This window comes from Homo sapiens, chromosome 15 (genome assembly GCF_000001405.40).
Source record: "Homo sapiens chromosome 15, GRCh38.p14 Primary Assembly".
Taxonomy (NCBI): domain Eukaryota; kingdom Metazoa; phylum Chordata; class Mammalia; order Primates; family Hominidae; genus Homo; species Homo sapiens.
Window position 1 is genome coordinate 51,800,166 of NC_000015.10, and position 18,618 is coordinate 51,818,783.

The window sequence follows — 18,618 nt, forward strand, 5'->3', positions numbered from 1 at the left end:
CTCTATGCCTAGTATTGAGTTAGAATTAGCCTAGAATGAGCTAGAATTGTGAAAATTTAGAACAGAGCAGCTTTTGACAATGCATATAAAGAAGACCCTGAAGTACAGCCTGTAATCCCAGCACTTTGGGAGGCCGAGGCGAGCAGATCACCTGAGGTCAGGAATTTGAGACCAGCCTGGCCAACATGATGAAATCCCATATCTGCCAAAAAATCCAGAAATTACCCAGGTGTGGTGGCACATGCCTATAATCCCAGCTACTGGGGAGGCTGAGGCGTGAGAATCACTTGAACCCAGGAGGCAGAGATTGCAGTCAGCCAAGATCATGCCACTGCACTCCAGCCTGGGTGACAGAGCAAGACCGTGTCTCAAAAAAAAAACAAAACCCTGAAGTACAAAGAATTTGCTCCCTAAAATCCCCTCTAAATCAACCTCATCACCCCTCCTCAGCCATCTAGGAATGGATTTGTGTAGTTTTTCAACTTTAGTATTTCATTTTGCTTCTGAAATGGCTTCTCTTTATTTCTTTTTTTTGTTTGTTTTTTGTTTGTTTGTTTTGAGACAAGGTCTCACTCTATGGCCCAGGCTAGAGTACAATGATGCAGTGTGGCCTCACTGCAATCTCCACCTCTCTGGCTCAAGTGATCCTCCCACTTCAGCCTTCTGAGTAACTGGGACTACAGGCACACACTACCATGCCCAGCTAATTTTTAAATTTTTGTAGAGACAGGGTCTCACTATATTTCCCAGGTTGTTCTCAAACTCCTGGGTTCAAGCCATCCTCCTGCCTCAGCCTCTCAAAGTGCTGGGATTACAGACATGAGCCCCACCGCGCCTAGCCTGGCGTCTCTTTATTTGTATACGACAAGGAGGATTAAGATTTTCTAGAGAGGCTGGGTGTGGTGGCTCACACCTGTAATCCCAATGCATTGCAAGAATGAGACAGGAGGATCACCTGAGCCCAGGAATTCCAGGTTGCAGTCAGTTATGGATGTGTCACTGCATTCCACCTTGGACAACAGACCTAGACCCTGTATATTCATTCTCTCTCCCTCTCTCTCTCTCTCTCTCTCACACACACACACACACACACACACACACACACACACACACACACACCCTGTCTCTCTCTCTCTCTCTCTCTCTCTCTAAGAAAAGATTTTCTAGAGGAATTGGAAAAAATTGTTTGCTTTACTTGAGAAATGAGGGAATTCGGGGTCAAAACTTGTCTTGCATCCAAATTGTGTTCATTGACTCATAGACTGTTAGAAGTAACCTCAGTTTCCTTATCTATCTAATGAGGGGTTTGAAATAAAATAATCTGTAAGACAGTTTCCTCAGGCAGAACCAGAAGCCAAGACCAATTTAACAGCACAGCAATGGGCAGCTGCACCAAAGCGAAGGCCTGCTGAGAATCCACCACTGGGGGCAGGCTGCTGTGGCTAGGCTCCAGGTCAATGTGCAGTGATTTAATCAGGTGCCCCCATGGGAAGAACAATCGGTGATGCATATTAAAGAAACAGATGGGGAACTGCTAAATAAATTTGAGTAGATAAAAGAGGTCACTTAGAAAAACACAGAAGGCGATTTGAAGATATGCTTAAACATTTGTTTCTATTTTTCCCCCTTTGTGTTTGGTGACTTAAAATATAAAAAGAGCCTGGGCCTCTAGTCCCAGCTACTTAGGAGGCTGAGGCAGGAGAATCCCTTGAGCCCAGGAGTTCGAGTCCAGCCTGGGCAACATAGCAAGACCTCATCTTTAAAATATATATATAATATAATATAACATAATAAAAGTTATATAATTTAATACACTACATACTTAGATAATTTAAGTATATATAAAGACTGTATATCCAAATTATAAGAAATTTTGATGCCCATCTATTGTCCTGGGTTTATGTAAGACCTCAAATCCAAAAAAAGATGCAGGCTGAGGAAGAAACATAGTGTATGTTACATTAATTCCTCCCCTTTTTTATATGCCCCCCAATTTAATTTTCTTCAGCTTCTAAGTCTTTTATATAGCTATTAGCATCTCCTTCCTCCCCCTCAAAAAAAAATAAAGCTATTATTCTATTATTAATATTTCCTATTTTTGATTCCAGATTATATTAATGGTTTAAGTTAACATAAAAGCAGAGTTGGTGTTTCTGTTTCACTACTTTGCCAGAATGTCATCCAAGGTTCATTACAAAATAGAGAAAACCCTAAAGAAATTACAGTTGACGTCTATATAAATAGAACATTCAAATCAAGGATGAATAAGTGTGGATTTGTCTTTTATTGCAAAACAAAGCAGCTGTAAGGATGCTGAGCAGAATTTAAACTACTAGGAAAATAGCCAGCTACTTGGAGAGGAGGGACTCAGATACTTGGGAATATAGGTGATTTGGGGTAACTTTGGACCACTGCATTAACACTGCAAGTTATCCAAGTCCAGGACTCAAATGCTCCAGGGGCACAAGCCGTAGTAGTGGCAGCCCTAACCTTAGCTCAGGGCTCATCCCTTGATACGGTCCCACTCTTCTAAACTATGTCATTTGCTAAAGTTGCTCATGAAACTCTGAGGTCAGCATCTCTTACTTTTTTGCTGCCACTCCCTCCCATTTACTCAAAATGCTTAGAGCGTTAATCTCTACCATAATTATTATTGTCTAACTGGAAATACCACATTGTGTTAAGTTCTTGAGGAGAGACTCGTTTGAGGGGTTGCTGGATGACAAGAAAGAGAGAAGCAAAGAGATAAGCCTTAAACTTGCTTGGGACGCAAGAGTTCCTCCATAAACTTTTCTTCTTCATCCACTCCATACTTAAATTTTCCAAATTTAAAAGGTATATATTTTTAACTTATTACAAAGTAATCAAGATTGTATGGTACTGGCACAAAAATATACTAGCAGAGCAATAAAGCAGATTCAAATCAGGGAAGAATGAAATAAAAGATGGTGGGATAATTTGCTAGCATTTTGGAACAAAATTAAATTGGGTCTCTATATCTTCTTTTTTTTTTTTTTTTTTTTTTTCTTTTTGAGGTGGAGTTTCACTCCTGTCACCCAGGCTGGAGTGCAGTGGCGCCATCTCGGCTCACTGCAACCTCCGCCTCCCAGGTTCAAGCGATTCTCCTGCCTCAGCCTCCTGAGCAGCTGGGATTACAGGCGCATGCCACCATCCCCTGCTAATTTGTGTATTTTTAGTAGAGACAGAATTTCACCATGTTCACCAGGTTGGTCTCGAACTCCTGACCTCAAGTGATCTGCCTGCCTCTGCCTCCCAAAGTGCTGGGATTATAGGTGTGAGCCACCATGCCTGGCCCTATCTTCATTCTTATGTTAAAATTCATTCCAGATGAAATGAAGATTTAAACATTAAAATATATTAAATCATAAACCAAATGGAAGAAATCAGGAAGAGTAGAGAGGCTTCCTAAACATGATATCTAGAAGATTGATAAATTTGACCATATGAAAATGAAGAAAAGTCCTGATAGTGATAAAAAGAAAGTCAAAAGACAAACATAGCAAAATGTTTTCAGCACATTTGACAAAGGGCTAATTTCCTAACATACCAGAAACCTACAAATCAAGTTAAAAAACTCAAAATACAGGAACTGTAAGCTAATAGAAAAATGGGCAAATGGCATGGATTGGTAGTTCCTGAGAAAAAAGAAATATAAACCTGTAAGAAAATTCATTGTTCTTATTCATCATTTGACAAATGCAAATTAAGGCAGTAAATAAATATGAAAGAAATATAAATTTTCACCAACTGTATAGACAAAGATTAAAAAGGTTAGTAGTATCTTATTTGGCTAGGGTAGGGAAAGAAGTAACACTCGTACAGTTAGCAAGAATAAAAGCTGTCATAACCTTTGACAATAAGTCAATAATATATCAGAATTCGAAACATGCTTGCCATCTGACCCAGCTATAATTTGTCCTACAGGCATACTTGCAGAAATGCCCCAAGATGCACTGGGGGAGGGAAGCTCACTGCAGTTTTGTTTGGGATAGTGGAAATAGAATGTGATGTAACAGTAAGTCACTAAGGCCTGGCTAAATACACTATGATCCATCACTGCAATGGGATTTGGCATAGTTCTTTATATGGATGAGGTAAATGTATATTTACCAACATGAAAAGATATCCTTAATGTTAGATGAAAAATAAAAACACACTTCAAAACAATATGCTAGTATAATCCATTAATGTGAAAAAAAGCATAGATATACAAGTGATTGTGTAGATACGTGAATGCATAGAAAATGTTTAGAACACTACATACTGCATGCCAATCTGGCTTTCTCTGTGGGGAATGGGGATGTTGGAGTAAGGAGACTTGCATATTTTATATACATTTTAATTTGTGTTTTCTAAACAAGCCTGTACGTTTTGTTTTGTTTTGTTTTGTTTTGTTTTTTTTTTTGAGATGGAGCCTACTCTGTCACCCAGGCTGGAGTGCAGTGGCACAATCTCAGCTCACTGCAACCTCCGCCTCCCGGGTTCAAGCAATTCTCCTGCCTCAGCCTCCTGAGTAGCTGGGACTACAGGTGCCTGCCACCGCACCCAGCTAGTTTTTGTACTTTTAGTAGAGACAGAGTTTTGCCATATTGGCCAGGCTGGTTTCGAACACCTGACCTCATGATCCGCCCGTCTCAGCCTTCCAAAGTGCTGGGATTACAGGCATGTGAGCCACTGCGCCTAGCCTTATTTTTTAAAATGTGATGACTGTGTTATGAAAAAATATACTTTGTCCCTTAAATTAAATTGTAAATTCCCATATTTACATGCCCCATTTGTTTTTGTTTTTTGAGACAGGGTCTCACTCTGTCACCCAGGCTGGAGTGCAGTGGCGCGATCTTGGCCCACTGCAACCTCCGCCTCCTAGATTCTAGTGATTCTCCTGCCTCAGCCTCCCAAGTAGCTGGGACTACATTTGCATGCCACCATGCCCAGCAAATTTTTTGTATTTTTAGTAGAAACGGCGTTTCACCATGTTGCCCGGGCTGGTCTCAAACTCCTGACCTCAAGTGATCCATCTGCCTCGGCCTCCCAAAGTGCTGGGATTACAGGCAGGAGCCACGGTGCCCGGCCTCCGTCTTAAAAAAAAAGAAAAAAAAACCCTCTATTTTTTATTTTTTCATTAGTTTATGTCTCAAACAAAAAAACCTCTTCCCACCAACTTAAACAAGTTGGAGATTTTTTTGTAGTCCAGGAACCCCCTTCAGAGTTTGCTGATTTCATCCAAACGTGTACATGGTTCAAACCACAATAAAGCTGCTCAGAATCACCTAGCAAGATTCTGCTGAGAGACAACAGCCCATAGGTTGAGATGTTTAATTATCATTGGATATGGATCCCAGAATTAAAAAATTATATTTGATAGCACAAATATAACATGTGCACAACACAGTGACAATAGAGTTACTATAGTCAACAATAACATTGTGCATTTTAAAATAAAAAAGTAGAATTTGATTGATTGTAACACAAAGAAAGGATAAATGCTTGAAGTGATGGATACCCCATTTACCCTGATGTGATTATTATGCATTGTATGCCTGGGTCATAATATCTCATGTACCCCATAAATATTATATACCTATGTATCCACAAAAGTCAAAATTAAAAACATTTTATAAAAAAGAAGAAAAAGTATTGGAAATGAATAAAGGTAATGGTTGTACAATATTGTGATTGTACTATATGCCACTGAATTGTGCACTTTAAAATGGCAAAATTTTATGTGTATTTTACCACAATAAGTAAGTAAGAATTCCCAAAGTAAAAAGTAAAAAATAAAATAAAAATTTAGTAATTGGATTGGCTGCTACAAAATAGTTTCATTATTTTTAAAACACCCTTTGTTTAAACCACAGATACTGGGATGAATTCAAAACACCAAATATTAGTTTTGCTTTCATTTTAATTCTGGAATTATCCTTTCCTTCATAAACAATTTGCTTAGTTTTTTTCAGCTGCAGGACACCAGCAAACTCAGCTATCTGTCTGTTGGATTTTGCTTCTAGACAAGGAGCAGGACTCAAATGACTGTGAGAGAAAACTTCTCAAGTGACGCTGTCCCTTTCAGTTTGAGACCTTTGCCTCTTTGCCTTTTTGTCCAGCAAGTAGCCTTGTCTTTTTCCTGTGCAAGTAACTGTTTCCTCTTCCTTCTTGGTCATCCTGTGCATGTGTCTGCACCTGCAACCAGAGGCAGCAGTTGGGAACAGCTGTAGAGATGGAAATTGCCCAGATGCTGGAGGAGAATTCAAGGATCCTCAAGTTTGGATACCAGTTTACCAAGCAAGGGCCACGAACAAGGGTGGCAGCTGCCATCACAAAGAATAATGACCTGGGTAATTCAGCCATAATATTTGCTGTTAACAATTAGAAGAGCATGAGCATTCACTTCTCCACTTCAGACGCAGCATCTCACAGATACCATTCCACTGGCCTCTGATGTCACTCACTTCTTCATATAAGACGCATTATTATAATACATGGTCATAGGAGTCTTTGTGGTCCTCGCAGTGTTAAGTTTCATCATAGCATTTTCTCAAAAAAGAAGTTTGTTCTATTTTCCAGGCAGTCTTTGATTTTTGCTTGATTTCTTTTGTGTATTTGTTTCTCTTTTACTTACATGTAATCTCCTTCTGTTTTTATCTGCACCAGAAAATGGGCACAAGGACACTGAGATTCCAAATTATGTTTGACTTCTGACTGCTTTGGTACTTAGTTCTAAATATGGATATGTCTGATACTTTGGCACTTTACATGTGATATAAACATGGAGCTACATTATGAAGTTTAAACTCACAGGTCGCCTTTTCAGTTAGCCCCTTCAGTTTTTCGTGTGGCCACTTGTTGCTGAGGATCCCTGGCATTTCTTCTGTTAGGATGAGGTGGGGCATGTCCTGATCAACCATAGCAAAGAAGAAAGGAACTGGGAAAGCTTGGTCTGAGGATATCCCAGCCACCTGGAGCAGCCTGGCAAAAGGACACCCAGGAGCAGACATCCATTTGGCAAGTGGTCAGTCAGTCAATAGCAGGCTTCAATCCCCAGTTTGAGGTTCAGGGACAGAATGCCAGATCTTGGATGGAGGAACTGGGCAAGGCGTTCCACCAGGTACAGTGCTGGCCTCAAGGAGGACTCAGATAGTGGGCAAGATAGAAGCTAAAGGTTAGAACGGGAAGGGGCAAATAAAGGTTAGCCTCCAATTCCTTGTCCAGACAGGCTTTGCCAAGACCCTGAGGCGTAGGAAAGGTGCAGTGTGTGGCATCAGGAAGCTGGCTGGACACGTGACAGTGCTTACCTGGGGGGTGCACAGGGTGAGGCCAAGGGACAGACAGGCAAATAGGGATTTGGGGAAGAGTGGAAGCAGCAATCAGAAGGCACCTAGGAAAAGCACATTGGGTCCACAACCAAACAATATAGAGACCAAAGGAAAACAGGCAAAATGAGAGGTCTGAAGAAAATGGACAGGGCAGCCTACGTCCAAGAAGCAGCAACTGTGGGCAAGAGCCTAGGTAGGAGCTAGGCTATTTAAAGTGGAGAGTTAGAGCAAGACCACAGCCAGGGCACCTTTTTGCCAAATCCAAGAAAGTTCAAATAGCCCTCTTCCCAGTGACCAGGAGAGCCTGCAGTTGGGAGAGTGAAAGGTGGAAGAAGAGGGTTGCAGGAACTGGGAAACGGCAGTCTCGGCAACTTCTTCGGTTCTAAACATCAGGTTAAAAGAACATTAATCTCTGAGTTTGCTTGCCAAGTGAATCACACCTTCCTGTAGGTTGATACTTAGAAGTTTTTATTTAGAAGAGTTTCAGAAACTTTGAACTATTTGCAGCTCCTTCCAGACTTCATCCCATAATCAGAATTAAAAGATTGTGATTGTGTTAACCTGAAGAGTTAGTTAAAGCCAGTTGGTGACAGAATTGCAAGTGCCGTGGATAAACGGCCATGAAAATAGTCAAAGTGCACTGTTTCACGGGTCTCTTCTGGAATTTCTATCCCATAGAAATTCGAAGGTTCTAACACTCGAGTACCCAACTATCAGACATATATGTATTTAAATGTAAATTCCACCAGACACTGGATGAATTTATCATTTCCATTGATTGTCATGGTTAAGTATTAAAATTTAAGATAACTGTATCCTCAAGTGTGTGAGATTGTCATCTTATGTGATTAATGTTGTTTATCTGGAATTTAAGGAATATCCCTTCAATTTGTCTTTTTGTTCCTTTCTTTCTTACCTAGTTCGTAAGAAGAGAGTTGAAGCAGACCGAAGGTAAACTTCCTTGAGGAGAAGTGAAGTTTCACTGTGGTATGGCCATTGAAAAACAAAAACTCTTCTTCTTCCCCATCAGGACCATTTTATCAAAGTTCGTTCATTTCCGTTAACCACATAACTAATAATTTAATTGTTATTCTTTTTTAGCACTACTTATTTATCTTGGATTTTGTAATATATGCAATTGTTTTATTTGCTCATGGGCACTTCTGGCAACTTGACAAATGGACCGATGCAGATTTTAGAGAGTGACGACATGGAAAATGAATTTAACCACTTTCTTATTGGGTTGTCTTGCTTTCTTACATGAACTTGTTTTTTTAATCACTGAAAGGAATTTAGTGTATAATATGTGTTTGTAACTGTGATTATGATAGAGGCCTATCTCTGTTTACATGCATAGCTTTGAGTTAGGCTAAATACATCAGAAGTGTTCTACTGACCACATAAGAAGTTAGTATTGCCAATCTTTCACTGCATGTGAAAATGTGACCAATTTAGCACAAATTCTCTCTTAGTTCCAGAAAAATCAGTAAATGCACATGCCCTGTTGATTGGAGATCAGTAGTGTCATCTTCATAAAGCAAGACAACATTATGACACTTTAAAACAGTAGCAAAGAAGTCTATTTATTAACCCACAAATGTAGCATCAAGCCAGACTCACAGGTAGCAAAATGAATTACACACCTACTTTTACTGACTATTCAACATAAATTGAATCTTTAACATGACTTTAAAGGCTATTTACAAAGCTGTTTTAAAGTTTTTCAAACATGATAGAAATTTTCTAAATTTTAGTAAGAGAGAAGCTTTTAAAACAGTACATTCCTGAATAAAACAACAATATTGTATCTTAATCAAGGCTGTCTGATGCAGATGATTGCATTTTTTGGCAAATTTTAGAAGCATTTATTGCTTTGTCTTTAGTGTAACAAGATCACTGGATTAAATATAAACATTCAGGTTAATTATCTAGATTTTTGTCCACAGTATATGATCCATCCAGACATTTGCAAACGTCAGGAGAAAAATGTGAATTATTTATCCAGATGCATGTCATCTCAAGGACAAAGCCTGTGAAAGTACAAGTGAGATGGTTGCATTGTAGTATGCATTAATCTTTCAATGTAGTGGTGTAAAAATGCAGTGCTAAACTAATGAAGCAGGTGACTGCAGCCTTTGGCTCAAGCTCACAACTCTGATAACTGTCAGTGCCTGAGGTTGTGATTGGTGACATTCTGACACTGCCCAAGGCAACTCACCCTCTATTCCTCCTTTCTCCCCTCCCTTTCTTCCAATTCATTGTCTTTTTTTTCCTCTTTTCTCTGTAATTTGTTACTAAACAAATTCCAGAATTTGTTTAGTAGCTGAGTGTTCCTGAGTTGCCTAGTAGCAATAAAACAAGTGAATAGGAAAATAATTAATATATTATTCTATTTAGCTTGTAAAACACATGGAATCTGTTTAAGATAGCCCTTGTAAAATTGAACATTTACCTGTATTGTAAGTACCCACATCTGTGTCTCTGAAGTCCTTTGAAACATCTCATTATCTTGAAATTTTTTTAATGTTTGAGAACACCATAAGCAGAATATTCTAACACCTTTGGCCCCTGAAAATCCTTTAATTAGTTTATGGCTTCATCTCCTTATCTATTTAAAAAACATAGTAAATAATGTTTATGGTTTTCAGTCTGATTTTTCCTTCCCTTTCACCCATTTAGGTGTGATGTGTTGGAGTCAACTTGTACAGGCTTGCCAACTGTTATATTTTCAAGAATTTTGCAAACTGGTTGTTCAATACAGCCATTATTTAAAATTAAATGATGTGCACTTACAACTGAATGAATTATATTAAGGACAGAAGTAACAAATACTGTACTCAAAAATCTTACATTTTACTATTTTCTAACCTCTTAGATTATTTACATCTAGTAGGTATGTATGTAGAAATATTACCAAACAGTATGCTACTGAACGTATCCTCTCAACTCCATGTTCACTACCTTCTTGTTACTACAGTGGCTTGAAATTGGCCATGGTAGAAATATTTACACCACAGAAATTAGCAATATGTAAGAAATTGGGGTTTTCTCCCTCTCCAGATTGCTGGTTGATAAACATTCATCAGCACACCACTGGGTGAAATTATACATTTTTTTATACATATGTTTCGCTTATCATGTTGCCGAAGGGAAGAACATTTCTCTTAGATGTCTTTTCTCCTCTTTGGATTTGTTACAAACCTGTTTAAGTGCTGAGTCCCTGACCTGCCTCTCCAAGTAAGCCTTTTTCCTTTTTTTTTTTTTTTTTCTTACTCTCATTCTTGCCTTGACTCTTAAAATCCTGGACCCTATAGAGCATTCCTTGCAGCCCCACAGTGCTGTGGGCTGGGGGCTAAAGCAGTTCTTGGCAAACTCTGGCAGAAAGCAAGAAAAAAAGAATCAGAATTCAATCATGGCTGTTTCTTTTGTACAAGCAGTTGTTGATAGTATTAAAGCAAGATAATGGGACATTATCAAAAATATAGCACTGTTTTTACCTTATGAAATAGTTGGGTTGCATGCAACAGAGTCTATGAAATCAAATGTTTTTTACTAATCAGTTTGTTTTCTTATTACCTGTGTTTTTAAAGTGGCTTGAAAGGTGGCATTTCCATGAGTGTGCACATATTGATGATAACCCTTAGAAAAACATACACTTGAGGAGCCTATCCATCATTTAATTAGCCTAGGACTTCATCTCCCTCTCTGCCCAAAGTGTGGAAGTGGTAGCTCTTTCATGATCATGGGCACAGTTAATCCTTTGCTATCCATTGTGATGGGGCATAATGTATATAAAATATTTTTCTATGTATTTGTTCTGCCAGATACTGTGTTGAGATATTTGGCAATATCTGGATAACTGACTGAAGGGAGATAACTTCTCCCCAGGCCTATCTCCCTCCCCCTTTTAGAGTTGTGCAGGTCCACTTTAAGTGTAAAATCACTCACCTGGACTTGTGGGCTTGTATCACCAACATCTATTATGGCACATGTAGATGACATTTAGGAGAAAAACCTTAGAAGTCTAGAAATCATATGATTAGTTCAGCACTGCAGCTCCCCATCTGCTTATAGTGTATAACTGGAAGCTCTTTCATCCTCATCAGCATGATTAAATGACTTCGTTTCTTTCATCTTTGGAGGGTATAATGTAAATAAGTGTCGTGTGTGTATGTGTGTGTGTACTGTCAGATATCTAACTAGGTATTTGGCTACATCTGGACAACTGATTGAAGGGAGATGCTCTCTCCCCAGTCCTCTTCCCTTGTCCTTTTTAGAATTGCTGCAGGCCCAGGTTAAATATGAAATTACTCCCTAGGCTTTGCAGTTTATGTTACCAACCACCACATTTTATAGCTATGTAGAGGATGACTCTTAGGAAATAAATATTAGAAGCCTAGAAATCATTTAGTTGTTCTAGCACCAAATCTATCCATTTGCCTAATGTATTTAACATTCCATCCTCATCAACATGATGAAGCCCCTTTCTTCCATCTTTGTAGGGCACATTGTATATAAATATTTTGTACATAAAGATCATCAAATACCATAATGGGGTATTTGGCTTCATCTGGAAAATTGACTGGAGGGAGATGCTGTCTCCCAGCCCTGCTTCCCTCGTCCCTGTCCAAGTTGCTGCAGGCCCAGGTTAGAAGATTACCAACCTGGAGGGGCATGCAGTTCATCTTACAATAAAAGCCCATTCATTTAAAAACTCAGAAATCATCCCAGTGCCTGTACTCCTCAAACCAATTTCCCTAAGGGAAGACTGGCACACCAGCCCAAAGAGCAGGTGCTTCTCTTCCAACAGAAACATGGCCCCTGACAGGGCACCAGCATTAGGGAAACCAATGTCCTCCGAATAGCTGCCATGAGAACATTTCAGATGCTCAAACTGAAAATTCTTAAAACCAATATTAAGCATCAGCATGCTTTAAGTGTAAGATAGCCCTTTGGAATTTACAAACACATGTGCAGCTATTTCCTTCTTCACAGATATGATGTACTCAGCCCCCTCCTAGGCACTACGAAGAAGACAGAGGAAGCATAAAAATTCTGGACTAATATAATTTTATATGTGTTTCTGAGATTGGGGAGTAGACTGAGTGCCTTTTTTACAAAGAAGATCCCATATTTAATTCAAGTATTTATAGCATCAGCAAAAATGGGCAGAGGGCGGGAAGTTGAGAACACTAGGTTCTGTGCTATGTTACCTGTATTCAGTAGAAGTGTTTCTGGAGTCAGGTTTTAAGTCATGATCCTGAAGCTTCCTTCCCCTCTTCCACTAATGATGCAATAATAGCTGTTTTCATTTTAACGAGCAGAGAACTAAGAGGAAAGGTCCTAGCTCTGCCTTCCACTTGCAGCTTCCCTTTACCTCCTCTTATTGCTTTCATCTCAAATATCCCTGCTACTCAACCAATCCTAAAGCTAAAGTACTGAGATGCACACAAAGGAAAGGTGTGAGAGTGCTTGGAAGCATCCAGCTGAGCCCACTGGATGAAAATCAGACGATAGGGCCTCCTGTTGTAATATACTAGCCAGAGAAAAGCGCCAAGAACTTCAGGGATATTATTCACTGCTTTATTGCTCCCTAACCCTAGATCAGATTGGATTTTACTTTGTAGTTCAGGAGTTAAGAAGTCAAATTGCTGACCGAGGTGGGGAAGGATGATGGAAATTAAAGGTTTACATTTGTTTAATGGCAGAACTGAGATTTGCTCAGCTTATCTCTTTCCCATCTGTCTGTAATAGCAATGACTGAATAATCAGTAGACCAATGGAAGAGGAGTTGCAAGTTTAAATTTGTAACCTGACTCTGGGTTCTGTTCTAGGAATAGTGCATGTTTTAGAGGCTTTGCCAGTTGGGATACATTGTTGACTTGGGGGAGGATGAAGGAGAGAACTGATGACCTAGACATAGAAAAGAGTAGTTAACTAACTAGATGTTCTTCTGATCTCTTCCATGGTAGACATTCTGAGCACATTGGCCCAGTTAGTTGGTATGGTGAAGGGGCACCGTACTAACAGATTTGGAGACTGAAACCTAATCCCATCACCAACACTTAGCAGGTATATGATCATGGGCAATTCATTCAATTGCCTGCCAATTATAGACTATATAGGGGGAAGAGCACTGGATTTGGAGTCAAGAAACCTGGACACTTGGCTCCACACTTCCTTAGCTGGGTAACTTTGGGCAAACCGCTTGGTCTCTCAAGCCTAAGGTTCTTCAGCTATAAAATGGGAATAATACTTCACTAACTACCTCACAGAGTTGTGGTAAGAATATAATCAGATAACTGGATAAAAACACTATATAAACTGGAAAGCGCCGTACAAATGTGAGAGATCAGTTTTATTATCAAATCACTGTTTTCCACTGCCTCTTGAATCGGCTTTATTCTAACCAACCATTACATCTTTCTCATCTTTTGGAGTATGGGTAATTGAGGCTTGGGTGTGTCATCAGGGACTGGAGTTATTTCAGCTCCCATGTAGAGGTGGGAGAGGTGGTTGATGGGGCAGTGGAAGTTAGATACCAGCGATGTATATGGTAGGACATTTTCCTGGGTCACTTTGACAGTACCTTGGGAAATTGTCAGTCCTTGCAGAGGGCCTAGGCTGGGCACAAGGGAGAAAGCGAACAGTTGACTAAGAATTGAGGGGAGGGTCTGGAGCGCTACTGCCCTCCTGTCATTGCTGTGGGTGGGAGAGGCTAAGACTTCAGGTTTGACTGGAGGCCTAGGAGAGAAGAGTGTCCTTAGGGTTTCAAGAATTTTAATGCCTAGCAGCTGAGTAACAGGCATTAGTTCTGATAGATAGTGAAGGGGAGAAAGTGCCACCTGTTGTGAGATCACCTCTCCAGGGCAGCAGCTGCCTTGTTATCACCAGCAACCTTAGCCCTGGTCAGTAATATTTCTGCTAAGAAAGGTTTTGAAGCATGGCCTCCAATGACTTTCATAAGCCCTTGGAGGCAGGACTGTGTCTCATCCATCTTTGTATCTTCAGTACCATCTTGTAAGGTGCCTTGTACATAGTAGGTGCTTAATGAACAAATGTTGCTTGAATTTAGCTGTCGTCCAGCCCCACAGAGTTATGCTCCATTTGCCACCATGTGATATTTTTGAGAAACAATAGTGATTTGGATGCCAGCTCTATGTGACTTTGGGCAAGACTCTCCATCTATCTTGTCTTCATTTCATCTGTAAAATGAAGTGAGTAGATTCAATGCTCCCTAAGGTCCCTTCCAGCTCCAATACTTGACAAGCTTGTGATTCTAAATCGTTTCCGTTGCCTCTGAACATGGGTGAGTAATGCCTCCACTGCAGCTGTTTCTCTCCAGGAGGCTTTGTTCAGAGGAGGTCTGACTATTGCACAGCCAGTTTTTTCTTCCTCTTCAGCAGTTCTTTACTGTCTTCAGAATGGTTCTGGATAAGCGGCCTTTTCTGAAAGGATATTTAAAAATATATACTATTTAGGCTGGGCCCAGTGGCTCATGCCTGTAATCCCAGCACTTTGGGAGGTGAAGGTGGGTGGATCACCTGAGGTCAGGAGTTCAAGACCAGCCTGGCCAACATGGTGAAACCCCGTCTCTACTAAAAATACAGAAATTAGCTGGGCCCTGTGGCAAGAGCCTGTTATCCCAGCTACTGGGGAGGCTGAGGCAGGAAAATCGCTTGAACCCAGGAGGTGGAGGTTGTAGTGAGCCGAGATCACACCACTGCACTCCAGCCTGGGTGACAAGAACGAAACTCCATCTCAAAAAATAAAATAAAATATATACTATCTTGCTCCTCAGAACCAGTGGGGAAGAAGAGGGAAGGCAAAGAAAGAAACTGAGCATAGTAAACACAGCATTTTTTTGTAGGCTCTTATTTAAAATGTGTGTGTGTGTGTGTATGTGTGTGTTTCTGAGTAAGTATTGACTGGGAAAAAGAGAGAAGTCAATCAAAAGTATACTGTGCAATTGAGAGAGGCTGGCCCAAGATTTAAAACTTCCTGTGGGTAATCTAACTGTGAGTAGATAGGAATCGGCCATATGACGAAATGAGATCAATAGGAAATGTGCTTTTTGAGGAAATTTTATTTTAGTACCAAATGTTGCCAGTGACAATCTTCAGTTAAGAAGTAAGTTATTCTGACCTAAAATTCTTATCTCTGCCACTTTGGTTTAAAAACAAAAACCCTTATATACATGGAATAGTTATATTTTAATTAAGCATTTATTTTAGTTGTTTTCATCCATTCAAGCAAAATGAATAAGCAGCATTTTTCATTGCACTTAAAAATGTAAAATACCTGCATGCCACTAATCTGTAACATTTTACCAGTTCAGATGCCTGTAATGTGTGACTTTATGTGTGTCTGTGTTGTTTTGAAGAGAATAAAGGAAATAATACTTTGCAAACTGTTTAAACAAGTGTTTAAACTTCTATTGGCAACATTTATTGGGCTAAGCAGTTATTGAAAACTCCGCATAGTTTTATTTTCCATTTGAAACTTCAATCAAATCAAGACTATTATATTCATTAGGGAATTAAAGACTAATTTGCTTTTTAAATGTGAAGTTGAACACTGTGTGGAAAGTAAATGTGTGATGAAGCAAAATGTATAAAGTATGAAATATTATACTTTTACCCTGGATAATTATTCAGGACCCCAGTTGGCCCAAATAGGTGCAATTTTTAATCCTTTGAAATTAGCCAGCCAGACCTAATGCTAAGGTAAATGTAAACTGTTTTAATTAATTAAGATCTTTCTGCTTTCGAAGGTATAATGTATCTATTTCTGTCAGGAATGATATTTCCAAATGAAAATGTAAAGAACATTGGGAAATAATAAACTTTCCTTTCAAAGTAAAAGTAAAGACTGGTTTTATATGGCTAATTTTTAGACAGTGTTTCTTTAAAACAAATGGTTGGCATCATGTTCTTAGATGAGCACATTTGCAGAAAACTATTAAATGCCCTTATGATGAAGAAACAAGACAACTGCAAGTAGCCATAACAGAGAGAAATAACTTGTTATCAAACAAAAATGAACACATTTGGCTAAATAGTTAAAAATTTGTTAGAATGAATGGGAACAGGAGTACAGAAAGCCCAAACAGGTTGACTATTTTACCCTGAATTTTTTACACTAATTTTGGATTTACATTATTATTCTCTTTAAAGCTCTTCTGATAATTTGTAATACTGAACACTAAAAATGATGAAGTTATGTTGTAAAGGTTTGACCCTGGAAAAACAGGAAAAACTGTTCTTCCTGCCCTTCTGCTGAACTCTGTCCCAACTCTTTGACCCTTGGATTTCAGTTTAGACTGATAAGGTTCAACTGAGAAACATAAAGGGCCAGTGTCTAATTTCTATATTTGCTGTTTCACACCTTCTCTTGGACAAGAAAGTATAGTAATTATTTTGTTTAAAAGATTCTCCCTTTCAGCCTATTGGATTATAATGAATAGAGTGGTTACAAGTGTGCACCCTGGGGTCACACCTGCCTGGTTCAGATCTCACTTCCATTAGTTACACGAATTTGTGCAAATTACCAAGCCCCAGCTTCATCTGTAAAGTAGTAACAATTATAGCATTTTTCACGGTAGTACTATTATGCAGATTAATGTGTAAAAACATTTAGAACAGTGTCCGATATAGAAGGCACTTAGAATTTTTAATTCTAACCTAAATAAATATCTATGTGAAACAGGAAATGTTCCCTTGTCCCCCTTGCAGGGCATGCGACAGGGCGAGTTGCTCGCTTCTTCAGTGCCCCGCTGCTCAAATGTCTAGGGGAGCATACAGACAGGCAGGCTGTGGAGCTCTGACCCCACGGCAGCGTCTAGGGGTGAATGTTTACAGCTGAAGCCCCAGTGGGCGTGTTGCAGGGTGCTTTCTTAGTTTGCCGTCTATAGGCGGCTTGTGTTAACCACTCAATTAGAACTTATTACCTTGCCTCAAGGACAGAGGGCTTTCTGTATCCTGGGTTCTTGCCTTGGTGTGCCGGAAGAATTGGATCACAAGTGGGCTTGGAGAATGAGTGCAAACTTTTATTAAGTGGAAGTAGCTCTCCACAGATGGGTGAGCCAGAGGGAGATGGTTTTCCCTTGGAGTTCTGGCCGCTCGGCCGGCTCTCCTCCGACTGCCCTGGCCAAACTCCACCTCATCCCACTGGTGGATGGCCGCATGGCCTGCCTGATGCATGTCAGTGTATTCTTCCACCGATGTGCTCTCCTCAGTGGCCTATCTACAGCCCAGCCACTTGTATCTTCTTCCACCAACCGTCTCCTAAGTTCAGCCACCGTGTCTCAGCCTTGCCAGTGTCTCAGGTTTTTATAGGCCCAGGATGGGGGCGTGGCGGGCCAGGGTGGTCTTGGGAAATGCAACATTTGGGCGGGAAGGCAGGAGTGCCTGTCCTCACCTAGGTCCGTGGGGGTGGACCCCTAGCCAGAGACCACACCGACCTCTGCCCAGCGCTTCCCTAACCCCGTTCCGTATCATTTAAAGGGACTACACTCTTCCCTTCCCAGCACTCCTGTATCACATGGATATTAACGCCAACAAAGCTCTCCATTTTATGCCAACAATGTCAAGAATTTAAACAGGATCTAGTGAATCTTACTCATTTTTAAATTTCTACTGACCATTCCCCTCTAGCACACAGGCCCTCCCCCATCACTCCAAGAACTGAATACAAATAAGAGAACTGATGCAGGCGTTACTCCTGACCCACCTTCTCATTAGCTCAGCCCTGGTGATTTCCCTCATGTTTCCCTTGTTTAGGCTTGCTCTGCCTTGTGGGTATCCTCTTTTGGATTTGCCCATTTGGCTTCTGGAGTGACTCCTTGAATTTCACATCTGTTTTGTGTTAGACTTGACTTTGTTATGGACCAACGTCTCTCAGCTTGATAACTCAGCCTTTTTTTATGGCTTTCAGAAGTAGTGCTCTGTGTCCCCTCTTCTCTGGTTACCAACCCACTGCCTGCCTACTCCCAGCAGTCGGGGAACACAATCAGATACCATGGCCTCTGACAAATGTCCCACACATCCAAGGACCTCACTAGAACTAGACGTATGTGTGCTTGCATGAGATTGGGCTATGCTTCCAGCCCCACCAATCTAAGAAGGGAGATTATGTAGGAAAGTCAGACAGGCGTATGACTCAAAATGTGTGGTGGTGGGGAGGAGATTCTACAAACTGTTGACCACTGGCTATATAAATCCAGAGCAAAATTTTAGAAAAGTGTATTCTCCACTTTAGTGGTTTGTAAGCAGTTGGAAGTGAA

At 40.2% G+C, this 18,618-nt stretch overlaps 1 protein-coding gene across 2 annotated transcripts in view; it reads left to right on the forward strand.

Moving 5' to 3' along the window:
* Window positions 1–16,198, forward strand: part of TMOD2 (tropomodulin 2) — a 64,767-nt gene extending 48,569 nt beyond the window's left edge. For both annotated transcript variants that reach the window (NM_014548.4, NM_001142885.2), the window contains 2 exons: window positions 6,212–6,356; window positions 8,255–16,198. In NM_014548.4, coding sequence (NP_055363.1) covers window positions 6,212–6,356; window positions 8,255–8,289 — 180 coding nt within the window. In that variant the 3' untranslated portion in view covers window positions 8,290–16,198. The remainder of the gene's footprint in view (window positions 1–6,211; window positions 6,357–8,254) is intronic.
* The last annotated feature ends 2,420 nt before the right edge of the window (window positions 16,199–18,618 follow it).